The sequence below is a fragment of the Homo sapiens genome, chromosome 8, assembly GCF_000001405.40.
Source record: "Homo sapiens chromosome 8, GRCh38.p14 Primary Assembly".
In the NCBI taxonomy this organism is placed as follows: Eukaryota; Metazoa; Chordata; class Mammalia; order Primates; family Hominidae; genus Homo; species Homo sapiens.
The window spans coordinates 139,685,270-139,708,305 of record NC_000008.11 but is presented as its reverse complement, the minus strand read 5'-3'; the positions used below and the strand labels follow the sequence as shown (position 1 = coordinate 139,708,305).

The following is a 23,036-nucleotide window of genomic DNA, read 5'->3' as shown; positions in this document are numbered from 1 at the left end:
GACCCACAGGCTCATGGACAGTTTTCACCATGGATGTGCAAGAGTCAGCCTGTTAAGAAGGTGGCCCTGGTGGCAGGTGGAGAAGAGAAGGGGAGGTTCAGTTGCAGGCAGCAGGGACAGTGAGGTGGCTGAAGGATCAGAACTGGTGCAGGGCTTGTCTATGCAGAGCGAGAAGCGGAACCAAGACCTCCTGCCTCCCAGTAAAGGTATCTGGGCTGGCCAGCAATTCCCCAAAGCACAGTCCTCAGGACCCGATGCTGCAGCTGAATGAGTTTGGGAAACACTGCTCACAGCACTCCCATCTAGGGGTCACCATGTCTGTTAGCAGAACAAAGGCTCTGAGAAGTCTTGCACTTGCCCCCGTTTAACCCAATGTTTCTCAAACTGTGTAACCACACAACACACTTGTTCACATCCTGAAGAGGAGGCTGGGAACCCCTGGATGAGCATGGCTGCCTGTCTTGGGAGTGCTTTTCTCCGGAATCTGACACTGCTGGAGGTCTAAAGTTATCAGCTGTGCCATCAACTGTGCAAATGTCACTGGCCTTGAGAAATCAGCTAAGAGCAGAGTGAGGAATATCTACTTTGGGCAGGGAGGCCACTGAGGAAGAGGAGACTCATCACAGACTCTCTCTGTGATTTGGGGCCACTGGACTCCTTGGTGCCTTACCTTCCTTGAAAGGACATAGGTCAGTGTTAAGTCCAGGAATGGCCTTATGTGTACCCCTGTGTTCAAGATTCTCTGGCTGTACTAGATCCCAGCCAAAGACAGTGCTGAGATCAATGAGCGATGTCTGCCCCGGGCAGAGGTGGAGGGAAGGGCAGGCTGTACGCCAGGATCAGTGAGCCCACCCATGGCCCCACTCCCCTCTTTAGCCTTCCCCATCTGTAAAATGGGTATGATGAGTGTGCACCCCTGCCTATTTTCAAAGATGTGGGCATTAATGTGACAAAGCGTTGAACATACCAAGGAATCAGGATGTCGTGGAGCAGCAGACAGCCCACCCTGGCCCAGACACACTGCGGTGATGTGGAAGAAGTACTGGCCTGGGAATTGGGTCCTCCCTTACTCACTGTGGGACCAGGATAAACTGCTGGGCCTCTCTGGGTAAGAACAGGGGCTGCAGGCACACCCACTGTGTGTAAAGAATGAAGCAAACAAGTAGGCAGCAAGCAGATAGAGTTATAAAACCATGATGTTCTTTATTAGCTAATAAGGTACATCTGTTTTTACAGAAACTGAGGTCCAAGGGAGGCCCATGTTGGGGCTGCTGGAGGGCGCAGACAGGCTGTAAACACAGCGCATGGGCACCAGGAGCACCGGACAGGCTTGGGACCAACTGACTGTGGCTTAAGCCCACAAGAGAATGCACTTGCTCACCCCAGTTGGGTGGCTCGCGTGTGCGCCACGTGCCTGCATTGGGGTTCTCAAAGAGTCGGGAAGGACCCGCCTCCCTCCTCAGGTCACCTATCTGCTGACAGCCCTACCCAGAGGAGGGCTCTGATTGGTTGAGGTGGGCCTTCACACGTCCAAATCCAGCCAATCACCGTGGCTCTGGGGAATTCTGGACTCTGATTGGCCACACCTCAGTTCCACACGCTTCTCGAGGTGGGGCTAGAGTTGGGACACCCAGACCCACCCGGGCTGCCAGGGAGGCAGGCACGCAGAGGCGCTGCCCCCAGCCAGACTCTCTGGGCTGCTGTGTGGCACACACCATCCGGGATGGATGCTGGGGATGTAGGGAGGATGCTTGATTGAGCCCCAGGCTTTGCTCCCAGGAGCTCCCATTCCACCCGCAGGTCCAGCGCCTTGGAAAGTGGCACATGTGGGGTGTGGACGGGCGGACGAGGAACCCTCTGCTTCCACGGCTCAGACACTGCCTGGGAGGTCCTGAGTCCACGGGTCTATTCCCACGGGTGGAAGAGAGGAAGAACCAGGGTCTGGGGGCTGGTAGGTGGCCACTCAAGGCACTCTAAGCTTGGGGCCAGAAAGCAGCGGGGGTCCTTAAGCCACGGAGAGGCTTCCAGGGCTGGCTCCACATCGGAATCACTGTGGGATCCTGGGCACGTGATCCTGTCTTGCTGGAAGTTTTCCCATCTGTAAAACAAGGGGTTTGGAGTAATTCATCTCAGAGGTCCTTCCAGTACTCATACAGCGGTTGCGCTTTCCTGAAAGGCTGTATGCAAATGGAGTTCCGTAAACCAAATCGAAGTGGCTCTGCAGAGCGCGGCGTCTGCCGGCGCGCCCCTCCCCCGCCCGCGCTGCCGCGGGGACAGCCTGGACTTCCCCGCAGCGAGGCCGGCTGCGCGGCCGCCGCGTGGGTCGGAGTCCAGTGCCCCCTGGTGGCGCCGAGGCGGGCAGGCGGCTTCCGGACCGCGCGGAGGCCCGACGGCTGTGACTCAGGGGTGGCGCCGCTGCCAGGGCGGCGGGAGGCCTGACTGGGGTTCCGTCGTGGGCTGAGCCACGGCGCAATTAATTACCAGCTGCTGGGAATCCTTGTCGCCCGCTCGCGGTGACTCACCCGGCAGCCAGGCTCACTTGCCGAGCGCGGGGGCCTTGGTTTCCAAAATGAATCTGGGGAGAGTGCCTGCTCGGGGTAGGGCTCCCCGCTCCCTCGCCCCAGGGCGCCCGCAGACCCAGCGAGGACCTGACGGCTCAGACGTAGCCCACAGCGCGGGCTCCCCTTCCCTGGTGGGCACCCGTGATCCCTGAAAGTGGGGTGCAGAGCGTCCCAGCTGGGAGGCCTCGGTGAATCACTGGGGTCCCAGACCCTCTGGGCCCGGGGTCCCTGAGGCCAGGGAGCCCGAGCACCGCTCCAGGGGGCGACCCACAGAAGGGACTGGTCTCCTGGAGCCCGCGAGCTGCCCGAGGGTTAGGTCTGATTCCCCAGCCACCCCTTGGCCAGCTGCTAGCCTGCCGCCAGGCAACTCTTTCCCATCTCCATCCCTTCCTTGGCTGGGGTCAGGAGAGGAAGAGGAGCCCAGGGGTCTCTGAGGCTTGGGTCTGTCCTTTTGGAGCTCCAGGGCTCCAGGCGGGATTCAGGAAGCCGAAGGTCAAGGAAAAGCCCCTCGATAGCCTAAAGGGAGAGGGCGGGGAGGGGGAGGAGGTAAAGGAGGCCAAAATGGGAAGGAGATAAAGCCTGGAGAGGGCTCATCTGGAAGCAGGGAATAGGTGCGCCCCAGCCCGAGCCTCGTGTTCCTACCCCAGGTGGTCTCGAGGGGGCTATCGCGTGGCTCAGGGCTGCATCCACGGCGCACCTTGCGCCCAGCTGTGGGGAACCAAAGAGTGATTATATATATCAAAGAGTGATTATATATATATATATATATATATATATGTGTGTGTGTGTGTGTGTGTGTGTGTGTGTGTGTGTGTGTGTGTATTTTTTTTTTTTCCTTCAGTAAAGCAACAGAGAGGTTACTGGGTCGGGGGATTGCGATGTCTTTCCCCGCTGTCCTGACTCCAAAAGTGGCGGCCCATGCTGTCCTTAGCGCTCTCCAGGGAAACGACTCGGGTCTGCAGGTGCTGGCCCAAGCGGGCTGTGCCGCTGGGAGGCGAGGGGGCCGAGGCAGCCCTCGGGACCCCACCACTCCACGAGGCCATGTCCCTGGCCAATGACACGCTCCCGCGCCGGGTGGCTAGGTGGGGGGTGGGGGGTGGGGAAGACTTCGTGAACCGCTGCTGCCGCTCTCCTGTGTGCCCATGGCCCCCTCCCCTTCTGCTCCCCACTCTCTGCCCAATCTGCCTGAAGCTGTCAGCCTGCCATCTCTGGCTGAATCCCGTTTTCCTCCTCCAACCCCGAGTCCCTCAAACTCTCCACCCGCCAGGGCTGCTTGCGCTCTTGGGGAGCGGGGCTAGAAGGACCCAAGAAGCCGCGTTTATCCTCCCATCCCCCGCCAAAACCCGCCGGCGGCTCCGCCCCCGCCCCCTCCCTGGCGGCTCAGGCCGCCCCTCCCGGGCTCCCTCCGCGTGCGCCCTGCGCCGCGCTGGGTCTGCAGCGGGAGCTGCCACAGCAGCCTCGCCAGCTGGCTGGGGACCAGGCGGGAGGTGGCGCGCCCTGGAGGCTGCGGGAGGGAGGGAGGGAGGGAGGCCCGGCCTCGGCGTAGCCCGGCCCCCGCTCCCCGAGGCCCTCCCGCCGGAGCGGGGCTGCCAAGCGCACACACACACACACACACACACGCACATACACACGCGCACACACACATTCGGGCTCCCAACGGCGCGCACGCACGTAGCGCCCGGGGCAGACCAGCGCGGCGGCCGCCTCCCGGGACGCCCGGACGCCGGAGGGCCCCGACCCCCGCGCGGCTCATGCGCCCGCGTCCGCCCCGCTGCTCCGCGAGGCCCGCGGGACCCCTCCCGCCGCCGCCGCCGCGCCCGCCGCCCCCGGAGGAGCGGGCTGGCCGACCGCCACCGCGCCGTCCCCCGGCCGCCCCCGAAGCCGCTCCATCGCGGTCCCTGCCGTCCTGGGGCCGCGCCCCGCTCCCGCGCCTTGGGGGTTGAGCCGAGCAAACTTCGCGCACCGGCCGACGCCCGGCGGGGACCCCGCTGCGCACCCGCGCGCCCGGGTGGGCGCTGGGCGCGCGGACCTTTGGGGAGCGGGCTGCCCCTCCCGCTGCACCTGCTCGGCCCCCTCCCCGCTTGCAGGGGACTCCAGAGACACCGCCACTTCGCAAACTTTTCCTCCCCACCACCGAGAGGGGGCGAGGAGGGGTAAAAGGGGAAGCAGGTTCCGCTGGGCGCGCGGACCTGCAGGCTCCTTGCTGGGCACCGCCACCCGCGAGCTGGACCCACAGGGGTACCGGGCCCCGCGGCCGCCCTCCGGCCGCTTTCTGGCTCCGGTTCCCGTCCCTGCGTTTCCCGCGGGAGCGGGGGGCGGGGTGCGGAGGGCAGCAAGGCCCGCGCGGTACCCAGCGGGGCCGCCCTGCATGGCCCTGCGCAGTGGGGCGGGCTGCTTCGGCCGGGTCTGGCGCAGGGTGTCGGGGTTCCCGGACGCCTGGCCCCGGCGCTCGAGCAGCCTCCTGTGCCTGTCCGCCTTCTCGGCTGAGCCCGGGCCCGCGCCGCCCCTGCCCCGCCAGCCGCCTCGCGGTGGCGGTGGCTGTGGCGGCCCCAGCGGAGGGGGCCCCCCCCAGCCTCCCCGCCCCCCGCCTCCCCGCTGCTGCTGCTGCTGCTGCCGCCGCCGCTTACAACTTGGAGGCGGCGGCGGCGGCGGCGGAGGAGGAGGCGGCGGCGGCCGCCGGGCGCTGCAGTGGGACGCGCGCGGCTGTGAGCCTGCGGGACATGCCCCCCGCGCCGGCTCCTTGCTGGCGGCCATGAAGAGGCAGAACGTGCGGACTCTGTCCCTCATCGTCTGCACCTTCACCTACCTGCTGGTGGGCGCCGCCGTGTTCGACGCCCTCGAGTCGGACCACGAGATGCGCGAGGAGGAGAAACTCAAAGCCGAGGAGATCCGGATCAAGGGGAAGTACAACATCAGCAGCGAGGACTACCGGCAGCTGGAGCTGGTGATCCTGCAGTCGGAACCGCACCGCGCCGGCGTCCAGTGGAAATTCGCCGGCTCCTTCTACTTTGCGATCACGGTCATCACCACCATAGGTAAGGGCTGGGCGCGCCGCTGGGCTCCCGCGCCCCGGGAGGAGTCCGGGGAGGCGGCTGAGCGCGCCGCGCCGGGCTGGGTGCAGGGCGTCGAGGGTTAAACGCAGCCTCCCTTGGGGGCCTTCCCGCAGCGCCCCCTCCTCTCTAGGGAGCCCCCCCTCCGCGGCGCCTCCGAGCCTCACCCTTCGGGGACCCCACCCGGTGCTCTCCACCGCGCTGGTGTCTGGGCCGGGCGTGCGAGCCCCGAGCGAGTGTGCCTGAGCCGGGAGGGCGGAGGCGCCACTTTTGCGAAGAGAGTGGAGCGCTAAGAATAATCCCATAGCAGACACCCACCCACCCACCGCCCCGGCGCGGGCTGGGCTGCGCGGGGCTCTGAGCCTTACACTTACTACCTCTCTGGGAGTTGGAGAGGGCTGGCCTGGCACCCATGGCTCCTAGAGGGACTCAGGTGGCAGGGGAGTGCGCCTGGGGCGTGAGAGGCACTGACCCTCCGTAGCCCCTGGGCCCCGCTCCAGGCTTCTCTGAGCTCAGATTTCATCTCTCTTCCCCCCGCCCGGCTCCTTTTTTCCCCTGAGTTCCAGTTCTGGAGCTTGGACTTCCCAGGCCCCTGGGAGGAGAGAGTTTGCTCTCTGGTGCTTGCGTTGGGGGTGGCAGCCCCTCAATTGCTCTCAGTAGAGGTGGAGAGTGGGGGCAGGGCAGAACCTGCCCACTCCCTAGGCTGTGACACTGGGAAAGGCCAGTCTAGACATTGCCCAGAAACCAGGGAACTTGAGCCCCAGTCACGAGAGGGGGTCCAGCTGGTAAACTGCAGGGATGCCCGCCAGCCCCACTGCCAAGGGCGCTATTCACAGAGCAGGGTCTCTGGTCGGTCCCGAGGGCAGTGTCCCCTCTAAGGCTGGGGGCTGGGAGGACTCCCGGACGTTATACTTGGAGACCTGTGGGAGCTGGGGCAGGTACCTTCATTCGGGTGGACGTGGTGGATACCCTGCATGGCAGGAGGCAGGGTGGTGTCTCTGTGGTTCACTTGCCCCAGTGAGGCAGGCTGCCTCTCTAGGGCCATCTCCTTGGACTTGCCAAGGCCAGTGTGTTAGTGGGGGTGGTCTGTTTCCTGCACCCCTCAGGGCTTCACACCCCTGTGCCCTGGGCAGGGACCTCCTCCTTCCCCCCTCCCTTCTTCCCAGCTCCTCCTGTCTCGCTTCTCTGGACCTCCTCCTCTAATTTCCCTCTTGATATTTTTCTTTGTCTGGAAATCTCTGCATACTGAAAAAAAAAGGATTTCTCAGTGCCATATGCAACAGGAAGCGCCAGCACAGGACGGCCTGTCTTTCCTTCTTGGTTGAAAATACTTTTTAGAGAGTCATCTTGTTTTAAATGTTTAATTCATTGGTGCAGGTTTTTCTGTTTGTGAAGGAAATTGTCCTTCTGTTATCTACATAATCAGCTTGGCTCTTGCTTGCCCCACGCCCTTTGCCCAGCACCCCAAACACAGATGACTCCTTCCCTTCCCACACTGTGTTTCCAGCTTCTGAGAGGGCCAGTCATTGCCATTTTCTCTGGCTTTAAACTGTGGCAGTGGCACGCAGATGCACAGGGCAGTGATTCTGGGAGACAGGGGCCTGTTTGCTGGAGAGCTGGAGAGTAAGAAATATGCCTCTGAAACTGGCCACCCCTGGGGAAAGGAGAAAGCCCCAAGGCCCTTAAACATGCCTTTAGGGTTGAAGATGGAAGACAGGTGAATTTGGCTAGCATGCTGGCTTCCAGTAGTAAAACAGGCACATAAAATGCTTGGCTGATCCCGAGAGTTGAGCGACAACATCGAGGAGAGGATTGGTGTTAAAAGCAAACTCTGAAATGTGCCAGTTTTCCTTAAGAAATGCATTGTGGAGACTGATGAAGTTCTTACTGAGGTGTGTTTCCATGGTTGATTCTGATTGGTAGCTCTGGGTGTATGCCTGTAACGGTTAAAACTCCAAAGAGAAGCTGTCAAGGGAAGTGTAGCTAAATGGAGGGTGTCGGCTTCGCCTCAGGGGCTGTGGGACTTGTATGAATAAGGGACCAGAGGCCATCTGAGGAATTCGCTGATTTTCCTCGCTTCCTTCTTTGGGCTTTCCACTGATTTTCTGGAAAGAAAGGTTGGGAAAAAAATGTGTGTGTGTGTGTGTGTGCGCGCGTGTGTGTGTGTGTGTGTGCGCGCGCGCGCGTGTGTGTGTGTGTGTGTGTGTGTATGTGTATGTGAATAAAAGACAGCTCTAACACTAACACAGCTGTCCTGTTGTGGAAAGATGTTCAACTTGGAACCCACAGACCTGGCTTGGAATCTGAATTCGGCCATAGTGTAAAGACCAGAGAGAGGTCATTTCCCAACTCCTGACCTCAGTTTCCCCACCTGCAGAAGAGATGTCTCACAATAACTACCTGACAGGCTGACTTTTAAGGTCCAGCTGAGATCCCGCGGGCTGCAGCTGCCAGGCACAGTGTGGCCGGCACTTAGTAGGAACGGAATCCACGCTCTTGGACGAAGCCTGATCGAGCCTCCGCTCTCTGCCCTAAGAAGCTGTTTAGCACAAGAGTTCAAATTTACAGGAAACAAAGCACCTTTCCAGTTAATTCTGTTTGTTTTTTTTTCTTTTTTTAATATAAATGCAAATTAAGATGCTCCTAGGCCTAGAACAAAACCCGGCCCCAAGCCTCGCCCTCCAAGGATTTGTCTCCTATTGGGCAGTGATATTAATGAGTCAGGTTAATCTTCATTGGCGTTTTGATTTTTAATCTAACCTTGAGCTATTTCTTGAGCATGCTTTAACTTTTTGCCCAAATCTCCAAGGCTGGGACAGGAGCCGCTGGTGCTGGGCGGCCACGAATGAAGGCTTCTTCTCAGATGCAGCTATTAGCTTGCCCTGTGAAATGGATTTTTAAAACGTATGTAATTACCACTTTGCGTTGAATCTGTGGCCGAGCCTTCCTAAAAGGCTTTGGAGGGATATTACCCTGAGTCTCACCCCAGCTCTCTGGGGATCCCGGGGCACAGTGACCATTGTCATAACCAGGGAAGAACGGGAGTCCAGCTGGGCCCCGCAAAGGGCAAATTCAGTTACATCATTTATCAGGCTCTGTTTCCATTCCTCCCCATTTGCTTCCTTTGATGTCTGTGCCACTTGTAGCTATTTCTGCGGAGATTATGTTTAGTTCTAAACTTGTGAAGTGCTAGACCTTTGCATGGGAGACCCTCGTAGGTACCCTGTAGTTTCCTTTTGATTAGGGGTTCAGTCTGAGTTTCCCCCCAACCCCCGCCCCACCACCTGTTGGTGGAAGTGGTGAAAGTCAGGAGTGCTGGGCCAGGGTCTGGACAGGGGTGGAGGAGTTTTATTTGGATTTGGCCTGCTTGGGGCCAAATGGTGTGTAAGGGACCCCTGGAACACACATGTGACCTTCCTTCAGCAGGCGCTTTAGCCTCTCCCCACGATCCAACAGAGTTAGAGTCTCCATGACACTTCTTTCTCCAATCTAACATCTGTGACCTGAGCTGTTATCACCTTCAGGATCATTAAAAAAGAAGAAACCATCAGATCTTAGAAATCAGATCTCATCTGCAGAGTGTAGAGGACAATTTGAAATCGGGCTTAGGTAGGGAAGGAGAGGTGGGTTTTTCCTTTTCTTGCTACAGTTTGCAGGAGCGGAAGCCGTACATCAGGGGCAGTATTTCCCCAGAACCTCGGGGCCCAGCTGAAGCTAGGAGTGGTTGCTGTGGGGATTGAGCTGACTGGCTGGGGGCAGGGTACACTCTGAGAAACAGCTTTGGGGTCCCTGGAGGTGCCTTGCTCCCAGGCCTGTACCTGCTGGAAAACAGAGTGCCTTGAGATAGCTTCCTTTTCTCATTCATAAACGGCACCTTAAACAGACTTTTCGTGAAACAGACAGCATTTTCCATTTTTTTTCCTGGCACTCTTGGTGCAGTTTTTGGTACGTGGTTCACACTCTGGGCGAGCACCTGGCCCTGCCAGGTCTGTGCTGCTCCAAGGCTCTGAGGCTCTGGGGACAGTCTAGATGACAAGATAAGGCCTGGCCTTGAGTGAGGAGGAGGGAGCTGGAAACCCAAACAGTTGGTTGCAGTCCAGGGTGCAGTCTAGGGGCAGCTAAGCCCAGTGGCTGCTTCAACCCCTTCCCTGCCACCCTGCTTAGCACATGCAGGGGGTATGTTCCTTGGTTGGCTCTTTTAACCTGTCTTACAGGGGCTTGTCCTCCAAGAAGTCTTCCCAGCCTTTCCTCTCACTGCCTGCCTCAGTCCCAGCCTTTTTCTTTAATAAATACTATGTTTTCTGCTCCAGGCCCTACCTGTGTGTGTTTTCCCGTGCACCTGCAGGGCCAGCACAATTCCTGGGCCAGAGTGGGCCTCTTGGAAGGGCTGCAGAATACAGCACCAAGCAGACCCCACAGGCTGGTGCCAGAGGAGCACGGAGCCTCCACACGCATGCACTCACCTCCCCCACTTTACAGATGAGGAACCTGACGCAGATAAGGCCACACACACCAAGGCAGAGGGCCTTGAACTCTGTCATGCAGTTGGGATCTCCTTACTGAAGGCTCCAACTGTGGTGTTTTCCCTGGGACCAGGGCTGGGCTCCTGGAGTAGTCCATCGCGTTTTTCCTTCTCCCTTTAGCTCCACCCTTCAGTAGAACTGCCCAGCAGACCCAGATGAAGGGCCTACTAGGGCGCCATGGGGTGGGCCCAGAGGAGTGGGGCCTCCTTGGTAATGTCCAGCAGGGTAGCTGGCCATGCTGGGGAGCCAGGAGATGCCTGTGGGCAGCTCCTCTTCCCCACACCCTTCTCGGACCTGGGCTCGCTCTGCTCTGGGCCCTCTAGGAAGCACTGCCTCTTTGTAGATGTCATGGACACAGCCAAGAAATGGGGCAGAAGTGGGGTTTCTTCTGATTCTGGGGTACATCAAAGAGACACCTCGGAATGCGGAGACACCCAGCATGGTGCTCTGAGGAGGGGTGGGAATCAGGTGAGACCCAGGAGTTGGAGATACCCATTGCCCTCACCTACTCTTTCCTGGGTCACTTTCATCAGTGGAGTCTAATGAGGTCAGAGCAGTAGGTGAAACAGGCCCCAGTATACACCTCTTCCTCCATGCAGCGGTTATTCACACCTCCATCTCTCCATTCACAATGTACTCACTTAGTCCTCCATGCACCTGCTTATTCACACATCCATCCACCCACCCACCCAGCTATCCACCGTGCATCTGCCACCCATCAATCCACCCATCTACACATCCATCCATCTGTCTATCCCCATCCATCCTCCCATCCACCCACTTATCCATCCATCCATCCATCCATCCATCCATCCATCCATCCAACCATCCACTCACCCATTCACCATTCATCCACCCACCATCTATCCATCCACCCACCCATCCACCACTCATCTACCTATCCATCCATCCACCATTCACCCATCTACCCACCTACCCACTCACCCATCCATACACCCATCTACCCACTCATCCACCCATCCACCATCCATCTGTCCACCCACCCATCTACCCATACATTCATTCACCATTCATCCACTATTTATCCATCCACCTACCCAACCATCCACCATCCATCTGTTCACCCACCCGTCCACCCGTCCATCAATCCATTCATTCACCATGCATCCCTTCACCCATCTACCCATCCACCATCCATCCGTCCACCCATCCACCCATTCATCCACCTACCCACCCACCCATCCATCCATCTATTCATCCACCCACCCACTCCTTCATCCATCTATCCATCCACCCACTCACCCATCCATCTATTCATCCACCCATCCATCCACCTACCCATCTACCTACCCACCCACCCACTCATCCATCTATCCATCCACCCATCCACCCACCAACCCACTTACCCATTTATATCCATTTACCCACTCATCCATCCATCCATCCATCCATCCATCCATCCATCCACCCACTCATCTATTCACCCACCCACTCATCCATCCATCCATCCATCCATTTATCCACCCATCCATCCTTCTGTGTACTCCCTCCCTTCTTCCCTCCCTCCTTCCCTCCCTCCTCTGTGTACTCAGTGGGTCCTCAACTCACTTGCTTATTGGACGGATTTCTGCCTCTGCCTTTCCATGTGCTGGGTGGGAGCCCTGTGCTGGTGGGAGGCACACGGTGGTGAGCAGGCACAGTACCCTCATTAGAGCCTCAGTGTTAATGCCTCAATGGCCTCCATGAAGGATCTCCAAGATGTTCTAGACCCATCTCCTTCCTGCAAATGGTGAGCCAATCCCAATCACTTCTGATTTTTAAGCATTTTTATTTAAGTATAACGTTCTTATAGAAAAGTGTACATTTCACAAATGTATTGCTCAGTGAATTCTCATAAGGAAATCATGTCCATGTAACCAGCACTCTTAACAAGAGACAGAACATTACTAGCACCCCAGAACCCCCGAAGCTAGTCATCTCTTGAATGCCTCCAGTGGTAAAGAGCTCATTATGTAACACATAATGAAGTGGTAGTGGATGTGTTTAGACGAATGTTGAGATTATCTCTTGTGGGGTTCTGATCTGGTGAGGAGTGGTGTGTGCATGGGGGTTGGGATGGCTTCTCTTCAAGGGGCTGCTTGTCTCTATAGTAGTCACCTGAGGAGGACCCAGCAGATGTACATTTAGAAACTGGAACGTGGGGGGCTTAGACCTGGAAGATGAGAGGGATTTCAGCTCACAGATGCGAAGTTGAGCCTGGAGTGGGGACAGTATGCTACAGTGGCCCAGGGAGCTGGCCCCAGAGGGTTGGCCCCTCTGACTCAGACTGTAGCAAGCAGCTCTGGGCTGTGTATACACCAGCCTCCTAGAGGATGAGGGAAACATGGAGAAAGAGATGCAATGCTTGTTCTCAGTAGAGCCCCAGGAACTAGGAGGCAACCAGCCCAGGTAGGCTGGCTGATAAAGGAAAGGCAGTGGGCATTCTTGAGAGAGTCCCATGGGCAGAGAAATTCTGGGGCCTGAGAATTGGAGGAGGGTCCTTCCCACCTCCAGGTGGAGCACCCTGCTATGGCCAGCCTGAAGGAGCCTGGAGTCTGAGGTCCCTTTCCTCAAGGGATTTTTGTTTTGAGGGTCTCTTTTCCTGCCCATCCCCACCTGGGGACCTCCACCTGTAGAAAGCTCTCCCTTTTTAGGTCAGTGCACTCACCGTGTAGCTTATGATCCTCCAAAGGGAGGGCTGAGTGGAGCTTGGCCTCCCTCCTGTTCTGTAACAGCCTGTAGGGATTTGGGGATAGCCCTGGGCTCCTGAGTTTCTCCCAATAATGCCCTTTGTAGCCAGTTCCTCTCCTCTGAGAAATTTTAGCCTGTATGTGCTTTCCCAGTCCAGTCTGAGCATTCAGGGAGAGCTGACCATCACCTCCCCTTGTCTACACAATATACTTCTGTTAATGTCCTCAGTTGGTGCACTAGCTTTTCTGGGTAGCCCCTTCCTGCATTAACTTGTTTTGAGCACATGTACTTCCATTTTGTGCTACTAAGCAAAAGTGTCCCTGTCTTGCATTGGTATGGTCCCAAATACAAACCCTGGCATTGATACCTGAGCACAAAGTAGAATTATGTGCTAGGGACCAAGAAAGGAAGGGGTGGTTGATGGAAAAATTCATGGCAGGGAAGATGAGAAAATTCAGGTGCATCTGTGAGTGTGTTGGCCTGGCTTGTCGGGACACTGTGGGCAGATGTCAGCCACTGGGCCTGAAAGTCCCTCCAGCTCACAGTTTGCTGGCCTCAGCCCAACCATGCCCTTGCCTGGGGTCTTGGGGTCAACCAGCCCTGAGTGATGGAAGAGCCTGGCCAGGGAGTGGCTGCTCGAAGGTGGTGCTAGGTGAGTGGGGTGGACCTGCCCTGAGCCATCCTCATCCTTATCAGAACTTGAGCCCTGGGAGGAACCAGTAGGTGGCAATGGGGTGGAGGGAGGGGGCTGGAGTAGAGGAGGGTGGGCTGAAGTTTGGGGTGGCAGGTGATGGGTGGAATGTTGGTGTGACAAGAGGGATGCTGGGCCAGGCATCTGGAGAGTGGGGGGCAGGTCCCTACCCTACGCATGGCCAGCCATCCAATGAATGGGCCATGATGCCACCTGTCACCTGGGCAGGATTTCAGGGGCTCCTCCGTGGCCTCTCTTATGAAGGCACACAGCTGGGAAGCAGGCAGACCTGGGATGCCAGTGCCCTGCAGGGCGGCTCACGTCTGGCTCATGCCCCATCCCAGAGGCCCAATCCCAGGCACACCCCTTAAGCCTGGGCTCCCTCATCTATGAAACGGAGACTTAGAGCTCAGAATTTGTGTCCTTGTAAGGATGGGAGGAAATGTGTGTGAAAGGTTTCCTCGCCTCCTCCACCCAGGAGGCAGCTGGTGAGTGGCAGCTTTGTTGTGATGGTGGTCATTTGGGCGTGCTCATTAGGGGACAGTCACCTGGGTCTGGTTGTGCTCTGTCCACTCTTGGCAAATTCACTTTCAGCTTCCCCTTGCCACTTCCCCACCACCCCCTTTCTGCTGCCGCCGAACCCCTGATCTAATCTCATGGCCCCAATCTTAGCAAGGGGGCACCTGAGGCCGCCCTGACTGAGAAATGCTCCTCAGAGATGGAAAAGCTCCTACCATCCAATGGATGGGGGTTGGGATGGTGTCAAGCCGGGGGCTTTGGGGGCCACAGGCTGCATTCAAGGTGTCTCTGTGTTGGATTGCTATGGACTGGAATACAAGCCCTGGCTCATTCAAGGAGTAAGATTTCCCCAACTCAGTTCTGTTGGGATACTATGGCTTCCTGGGACACCACCTTCCACTCCACCACTGCAGTGACCTTTAAAAGCCCATGGCTGCCATCTTCGCCCTGCCCCAGACCCCAGCAGCTCCCCATCCCCTGCAGAATCAGACCCAGGTCCTCAGCTTGCAGCCCTTTTCATCCTCCAGCCCCGCTCAGGCCCTGTTCCCACACCTTCTGCCCTGAGTCCGGCTCTGCCTTCCTCTTTTCCCCAATTGTCCTTTATCCTCTTGAGCAAAGGACTTGTTTCTTTGCTCCCCAGCCCACTGTGCTACTCAGTTTTCTGAGTAGACATCAGTATTCCCTAGGGGCTGCTGGTCTCAGGCTCCCTTGCACCTGGCCAGGCCCATAGCAGGTGCTCAGGGAAGGCTGGCTGGACACTGGCTGGTACTCCTGGCTCCCCGAGAGCAGGAGCAGCTGAGAGCTGAGCAGTTTGGGGTGACATCTTTCTGCTTGGTTGTGCCTTGGGACCACTGGGTAGGTGCAGGACAGGCTGCAGCCTTTTGAACTCAAGCTGTTGCTTTTAATGGAAGACAACAGGTTAGGGATCTGTCCTGCTGAGTGGGGAGCTTCTCACTCCTGAGGCTTAGATGTGTGATCTTGGTCCCCAAGGCCAGCTGCTGGCGCCAGGCCTCTGTGAGTCTGCAGGGCATCTGGCAGGAAGAGATGCCTACTTGTGAAATGGACTTTGGCTGTCACTGGCCCTGTCAGACATGTGAGGTGCAGCCCACTCAGGAAGGTGAGAGGCCTTTACCTGCAGCTGACAGGCACGCAGCGCACATGTGGTGTTTGTCAGAGGTGTGGAAGGTGGGCATACATCTGGGATGAGCTTGTCAGGTGGGGCTGGGGTGAAAACTCAGGTGAGGTTGGGGTGAATCTCTCAGGTGGGCCTGAGGTGAGCCTCTCAGGTGAGCAGGGTGAGCTGCTCAGGTGGGCAGGGTGAGCTGGGTGGTATTGAGAACTGTGGGGTGGACACTTGGTTCCCACATTTGAAGCAGAAGCTCTAGGCAGCATTTTGTGTCAGGGCAGCTTGGGTGCATGGTCCCATGTGGTCTGGAAACAGGCAGTGCCAGGCCACTCATGGGTGCCAGGGCATGGGCATTCAGTTGGACGTGGGGGGGAGCTGATTGCCACTGATGCCAGGTGGACCTAGGCTGAGCTTATCCGGGCTGCAGGGAAGGGCCCAGCCCAGGGATGCCACGGGGTGTGGGAGAACGTTCCCCAGTGAGTCTGGTCATGATGAGAGGCTCTCCCTGTGCGGTTTCCCAGAGAGAACTTCTTTGACAGCACCCAAGTGCTGAGGAGCTCTGGCAGTTGGGGAAATTGGTCTGGTGTCTGTCTGGGACAATGTTCAGGCCATAGGTATTCAAACACTAGTGAGGGGGAAGCCAGTGTGTGTTGAATCCCCAAATAGCTCTCATACTATGGGAAAGGGAAAGTTGGCAAGCAACGGCAGAGTGTTTCGTGAAAGGGAGGAAATTCCCTACGACTCTCCTGAGACCCCATGATCACATCCAAGAATGGCTTCAGCATTCCATGTTCACCTTCTTGTCATTGCCCAAATGTGCTTGCTGACTTTATCATTTCATCAGAGTGGATTATTTAGGGATCGTGTTCAGGAGCCTCTAGCAGAAAAGCCAGGTAACAAGGACTTGAGCAAACAGCCGTTTTGTCTTTCTTGGTTGCGAAGCGTGGGGCAGGCAGACGGGCTGACAGGTGGCTCCACAATGCCTTGAGAGAGCAGGTTCTTTCCAGCTTTCTGCTCAGTCATCTTAGCTTGGCATTTGTCCTCTGGCTGGTGTCTCATGGTTCCATGGTGGCTGCTCCACCTCCAACATCCTCTCCAGCATCCCTCCCAGCAGGAAGAAGAGGAAGAACACAAGTCAAAGGCGTGTGCCAGCTGAGCCTGCTTCTTTCTAAAGAACCTTCCTGGATGACCCGCCCAACAGCTTCTACTTATATCTCATCAGCCAGGACTATGTCTTATGACCAACTCTAGCTGCAAGGGAACCTGGAAAATGGGGCATGCTGCTTCTCAAAGCAAGCTGGGGTGTGGCTGGTGAGGAGTGGGTGGAGTCAGGTATTGGGAGGTGCCCACGGGGTCTGTGGTGATATGCATAGCATTTCAGAGCCCCTTTTCTCTTTAAGTTTACATCACACATTACCTTGAGTTTCCACAGACTGAAGGGAAATGATTTTAATGGCTATATATCCACTGAATGAATGGACACTTAATTATTGAACCATGCCTCTATTTATAATGATTTAATGTATTTTTTCTTTCTTTAGGCTAACTATAGATAATGGTTTGTTGGACATCTCTGTGTGTGTGGATTCTGTGAGATCCTCCTTTAAGGGTTTGCTGGCTGTAGTGGGATCAGCAGGTCAGGGGGCACAGCACTCAGTTGTGTTACTATGTTGTTCCCATCAACAACTGTACAAGCAGGGGTGGGTCTTCTGGCTTCACTGCAACTTCAGCAGCCCTCGGCAATGTTGAAAAAGTTTTTGATGTTCTTACTATTTCAGGATGTTTTCCTAGTGGTCTTCAGGTGGCCTTGGAAAGGCAGCTGGGACAAGCTCATGTGGAGTTGGAAAGCTGGTATCCACGGTGAAATCCTTGCTCACCCCAGACACAGCCAGTGCAGGGGGATCTGCAGGACACTTGTGGACGCATGAAATGAGGAGGGGGAGGGGAAGGGAGCCTGTAGACCCATTTCAGCTCCAGGGATGGGGACAGTTTGCCTTGTCAGTCTGACCCAGCCGACTGGCTCTGGTCACTGGAGCATTGTACCACGAAGCAGTCTCAGTGGGGAAGGGTGCCGTGTGTGATTGATTAGTCATGTCTGACATGGGTGTGGGTCAGGCAGTGGTAGCATGCTTGCCACATAAGCCCACCCTGGGCTGGTGGAAGACAGAATTTCAGAGGTAGATGCCTTTTCATCAGTGTGCCAGGAATGATGTCACTATGGATAATTGCTTGACCTGGGTGCAATCTAGTTTACAAGACAGGTTCCCATCCACAACCATCTTTCATCCATTAACAAGACTATGAAATAGGGCCAATGGTTACCTGGTTATGCTGATGAGGCTCTGAGAGATCTGGTGACTTGCCCAAGGTCATGAAGTGGAGCTTAGGACTTGAACCCAAATCTCTCCTCAAGCTTGATGTGGTCTCCATTACACCCACAGCCTGTCCAGGGTGCAGTCCCAGACACTGTCCCTCTGCCTGGAATTAAGAGCTTGGATACAGGAAGGATTAGCCTCAGTGATTATCACCTGACAATATCAAGAGAACTCAGAAGCATCTGGTCCCACCCTCTCAGGATGGCAGCATCACTGAACCTTCCAGTGACAGGGAGTTAACTGCCTCACTCATAGAGAAAGGTAGAAATAGCATCAGTTTTAAAATAAAAGGCCAAAATGACCCTCATTGGTTTGTCTTAGTTCTCCTGACCAGAGCTCCCCAGGATAAGTGTGACCTCAATTCTCTTACCACAACCAAAGAGCTATTGTTTATGGCATGCCCATGGGATTCTGTTTTTTTACAGTCACTATCTCAATTAATTCCATCCTCTCGACAATCCTATGAGATAGATATTTTCATGTATCCCCGTTTTACAGATGAGGATCTAGAAGATCAGAGAGACTAAGCAACTTGCCCAGGGTCATGTAGCTAATAAGTGGCAGAAAGGAGTTATGCCCGGGAAGTCTGACTTCAGAGTCTGTGCTAACTATGTTGTTACATACAGTGTCTTTTCACCTTTATCAGTTAGCTAGTGATGTGTATGTAACAAATCATCCACAAACACAGAGGCTGAAAACAACCACCATCTATTACTGTTCACAGTCTGAGGCTCAGCTGGGCAGCTTTTACCCATTACTGGTCTGCAGGCTGATGGGGGAAGCTCTGCTTCAAGTCATTGCATGTTTTTCGCTCAATGATGGCAAAGGTGGCCGGGCGTGGTGGCTCACACCTGTAATCCCAGCACTTTGGGAGCTGAGACGGGCAGATCACGAGGTCAGGAGATCGAGACCATCCTGGCTAACATGGTGAAACCCCATCTCTATTAAAAATACAAAAAATTAGCCAGGCATGGTGGCGGGCGCCTGTAGTCCCAGCTATTCGGGAGGCTGAGGCAGGAGAATGGCGTGAACCTGGGAGGCAGAGCTTGCAGTGAGTCGAGATCACGCCACTGCGCTCCAGCTTGGGCAGCAGAGTGAGACTCCGTCTCAAAAAAAAAAAAAAAAATGATGGCAAAGGCACAGGAGAGCAGCAAATGCAAGTGACGACTCTTTTGCCATGACACTGCCATGATGCTGTCACTTCTCCCACATACCATTGGCCAAAGCAAGTCATGTGACCAAGGCCAAAGTCAAAAGGTGGGAAATACATCCTGCCCACAATGAGCCCAAAGCAATGGTACAGCATCTCAGCCTGCCATCTGACCATGCCTCTTGCCAAGTCCCTCCTGCCACCTACTCCTCACCATGATTTCCTTCCTGGTATAGTGGAGAGCATAGCTTTGGTTTCCAAGTGGGTTCAAATCCTGCCCATTGCATAGCTCTCAGATGATTTGCTGTTTTCTCATCTGTAAAACAGATAGTCCACAGTCTACCTTTGGATTCGTTTCAGTTTGCTGGGGCTGCCATTACAGAGTAAGACAGGGTGACTTAAGCAGCAGAAAATACTTTTTTTCTCACAGTTCTTCATGCCTGAAGTCCAAGATCAAGGTGTCAGCAGGTTGATTTCTTCGGAAGCCTTTCTTTTTGGCTTGTGGATGATCATCTCCCTGGGTCTTCATACAGCCATCCCTCTGTGCATGTCTGTGGTCCTAATCTCCTCTCCTTATAAGGACACCAGTTAGATTGGATTAGGGCTCACACGAGGGGCCTCATTTTACCTTATTTTTTTCCAAAAACAGTTACATCCAGAGGTCCTGGGGGTTAGGATATCAACATATGAATTTGGGGTGAGGGGACATGATTCAGCCCACAGTAACCTGCTAGGACTGCTGTGAGGATTAAGCGAGATCAGGGAGATGAAAGCACCTAGTTCTGGGCCCATCACATAGAAGTCACTCAGCTCATGTTGCTTTTCTGCCATATCAAATGTATGAATCTGAGTTTATCTTACTATGGTCAAGAAGACTTTGTTGTCCAAACATGTTAATTAATCTATTGTTACCTATCAAAATCTGACCATCTGCTAGGCTGGAAGCCTGCCATGGTCAAGTGGACCCAACCCAGGATCGGTCATTGATATGGTTTGGCTCTGTGTCCCCACCCAAATTTCATCTCAAGTTGTAATCCCCACGTGTTGAGGGAGAGACCTGTAATCCCCATGTGTCAAGGGAGGGAAGTGATCGGATCATGTGGGCAGTCCCATGCTGTTCTTGTGATAGTGAATGAATTCTCTCTAGAGCTGATGGTTTTAAAGTGTGGCACTTCCTCGTTCTTGCACTCACTCTTTTCTGCCACCTTGTGAAGAAGTTGCCTGCTTCCCTTTCCACCACGATTGTAAGTTTTCTGAGGCCTCTCCAGCCATGTGGGAACTGTGAGTAAATTTAACCTGTTTTCTTTAAATTACCCTGTCTCGGGTATTTCTTTATAGCAGTGTGAGAACGGATTAAGACAGTCATGAAGGGACCTGAGCTCAACCCCTCATCTACCTTTTATTAGCTGGGGTACAGCAAGTAAACCATTATTTTGCTCTCATCATCAGCATCCTTATTTGTAGGGTATGGGTGATCCTATCTCCTTTAGCATGTTTTGAGTTATACAAAGTCTACTGTGCTTTTAAACTTTTTCTTAATTGGATTTAAAAACTGGTAACATGTAAAACCTCTGTAATTTAAACACACACACACACATTAATGTTAGGTATTTGGTGTGATTATTATTATGACTATATATAATGAATGAGTACTTATCTTTAAGAGATAATGATGCATGTATAAATGAAATTATTATTATGACTATATATAATAAATGAACACTTATCTTTAAGAGGTAATGATGCATGTGTAAATGAAATGTCTGGGATTTTCTTTAAAATAACCTGAATCACATGGAGAAGTGGATGGGGGTTTAGATAAAACAAGATTGGCCTTGAGTTGTTAATTGCTGAAGCTTGAGTATTCATATCTGGGGGTTAATTATATTTTTCTCTACCTTGGTATGTGTGTCTATATATATATGTATACATATGAATATATATGTATACATATGTATACATATGAATATATATGTATACATATGTATACATATGAATATATATGTATACATATGTATACATATGAATATATATGTATACATATATATGAATATATGTATACATATATATGAATATATGTGTATACATATATATGAATATATGTGTATACATATATATGTATATATGTGTATATATGTATACATATATATGAATATATGAATATATATGTGTATACATATATATGAATATATATGTATACACATATATGAATATATATGTATACACATATATATTCATATATATGTATACACATATATATGTATACATATATATATATGTATGAAAATCTACATAGTGAAAACTTAAGAAAAACCAAACAAAATGTAGCATAGAAGTAGAAGCCTCCTGTCATGGTCCAGCCCCTTAGCCCCATGTCTAAGAGGTGACAGCTAGCAGCAGGTTGTTGCATAGAAGAGGATGAAATGTTTGGCTCTGTTGCAGGCTCTGGCATGCACATGTGTTTTCTTTGGCTCTTACATTCTTTGAAAATATTTGGAATTAGTTGTCAACATTTATTAATCTTTTAAAAGAACCATCTCTTGGTGTTCTTATAGGAGGTTATCAATTTTATTGATTTTTTGCTTTTATTGTTATTAAACACTTACTTTGCATTCTTTAGGTTTATTTATTTTTTTCCTCCCTTCATGCACTGACAGTTACTAGGCTTTCTCTTTTTACAAATAAATTCACTAAAGGCTATATGTTTTCCTCTGTGTGCCCCTTTGGCTGCATCCCATAGGTGTCTCATTATCATTTGTTTGTAAATAATTTGCAAGTGAGTTTATTTTTTTCTTTAATCCAAGGGTTATTTGAAGCGTGTGTTTTAAAGTTATACACAAAACACACATGCATATACACACACTTTTGTCAGCAAAATGATTAGGTAGGAGAATGAGTTTTGGAGCCAGACTGCTTGTGTGTTATTCTGTCTTGGTCATTTACTAATTGTAATGTAATTACATGGACATGCATTTCAGCTTCTCTGTGCCTTGGCTTTTGCAATCTATGAAATGAGGATGATAACAACAACAATAATCGACCTCAAGGTTGTTGAGAAGATTAAGTTAGTTCTTGCATTTTGCACATTTAAAATTGCTAATGTGCATTTTTTCATATGTCTGTTGGCTGCATAAATGTCTTCTTTCGAGAAGTGTCTGTTCATATCCTTTGCCCACTTTTTGATGGGTTTGTTTGTTTTTTTCTTGTAAATTTGTTTAAGTTCTTTGTAGATTCTGGATATTAGCCCTTTGTCAGATGGATAGATTGCAAAAATTTTCTCCCATTCTGTAGGTTGCCTGTTCGATCTGATGATAGTTTCTTTTACTGTGCAGAAGCTCTTTAGTTTAGTTAGATGCCATTTGTCTATTCTGGCTTTTGTTTTCATTGCTTTTGGTGTTTTAGTCATGAAATCTTTGCCCATGACTATGTCCTGAATGGTATTGCCTAGGTTTTCTTCTAGGGTTTTTATGGTGTTAGGTCTTACATTTAAGTCTTTAATCCATCTTGAGTTAATTTTTGTATAAGGTGTAAGGAAGGGATCCAGTTTCAGCTTTCTACATATGGCTAGCCAGTTTTCTCATCAATACTGGTCATCAGAGAAATGCAAATCAAAACCATGATGAGATACCATCTCACACCAGTTAGAATGGTGATCATTAAAAAGTCAGGAAACAACAGATGCTGGAGAGGATGTGGAGAAATAGGAACACTTTCATACTGTTGGTGGGAGTGTAAATTAGTTCAACCATTGTAGAAGACAGTATGGCGATCCCTCAAGGATCTAGAACTAGAAATACCATTTGACCCAGCAATGCCATTACTGGGTATATACCCAAAGGGTTATAAATCATGCTACTGTAAAGACATATGCACATGTATGTTTATTGTGGCACTATTCACAATAGCAAAGACTTGGAACCAACCCAAATGTCCATCAATAATAGAATAAATAACGAAAATGTAGCACATATACACCATGGAATACTATGCAGCCATAAAAAACTATGAGTTCGTGTCCTTTGCAGGGACATGGATGAAGATGGAAACCATCATTCTCAGCAAACTATCACAAGGACAGAAAACCAAACATCGCATGTTCTCACTCATAGGTGGGAGTTGAACAATGAGAACACATGGACACAGGGAAGGGAACATTACACACTGGGGCCTGTTGAGGCATTGGGGGCTGTGGGAGAGATAGCGTTAGGAGAAATACCTAATGTAAACGACGAGTTGATGGGTGCAGCAAACCAACATGGCACATGTATACCTATGTAACAAACCTGCACGTTGCGCACATGTACCCTAGAACTTAAAGTATAATAATAAAAAATAAAAATAAATAAATAA

The 23,036-nt window shown here is 52.7% G+C and overlaps 1 protein-coding gene across 2 annotated transcripts in view, besides 2 other annotated features; it reads left to right on the top strand.

Annotated features, from left to right (window-relative positions):
• Window positions 2,088-2,457: a silencer, noted in NCBI's record as "silent region_19573". NCBI's record gives its function as "represses an Ori minimal core promoter by ATAC-STARR-seq in GM12878 lymphoblastoid cells {active_cell/tissue: GM12878}" and the evidence as "EXISTENCE:reporter gene assay evidence [ECO:0000049][PMID:35858748]".
• Window positions 5,166-5,460: a silencer, noted in NCBI's record as "tiled region #3867; HepG2 Repressive DNase matched - State 23:Low, and K562 Repressive non-DNase unmatched - State 10:DNaseD". NCBI's record gives its function as "represses a minimal TATA promoter and a strong SV40 promoter by Sharpr-MPRA in HepG2 and K562 cells {active_cell/tissue: HepG2 | K562}" and the evidence as "EXISTENCE:reporter gene assay evidence [ECO:0000049][PMID:27701403]".
• The window catches only part of KCNK9 (potassium two pore domain channel subfamily K member 9), a 102,286-nt gene continuing 84,432 nt past the window's right edge, over window positions 5,183-23,036 (top strand). For both annotated transcript variants that reach the window (NR_104210.2, NM_001282534.2), the window contains exon 1: window positions 5,183-5,596. Coding sequence is in view for 1 of the 2 variants with exons in the window: in NM_001282534.2 (NP_001269463.1) it covers window positions 5,314-5,596 (283 nt within the window). In the remaining variant the exon portion in view is untranslated. The remainder of the gene's footprint in view (window positions 5,597-23,036) is intronic.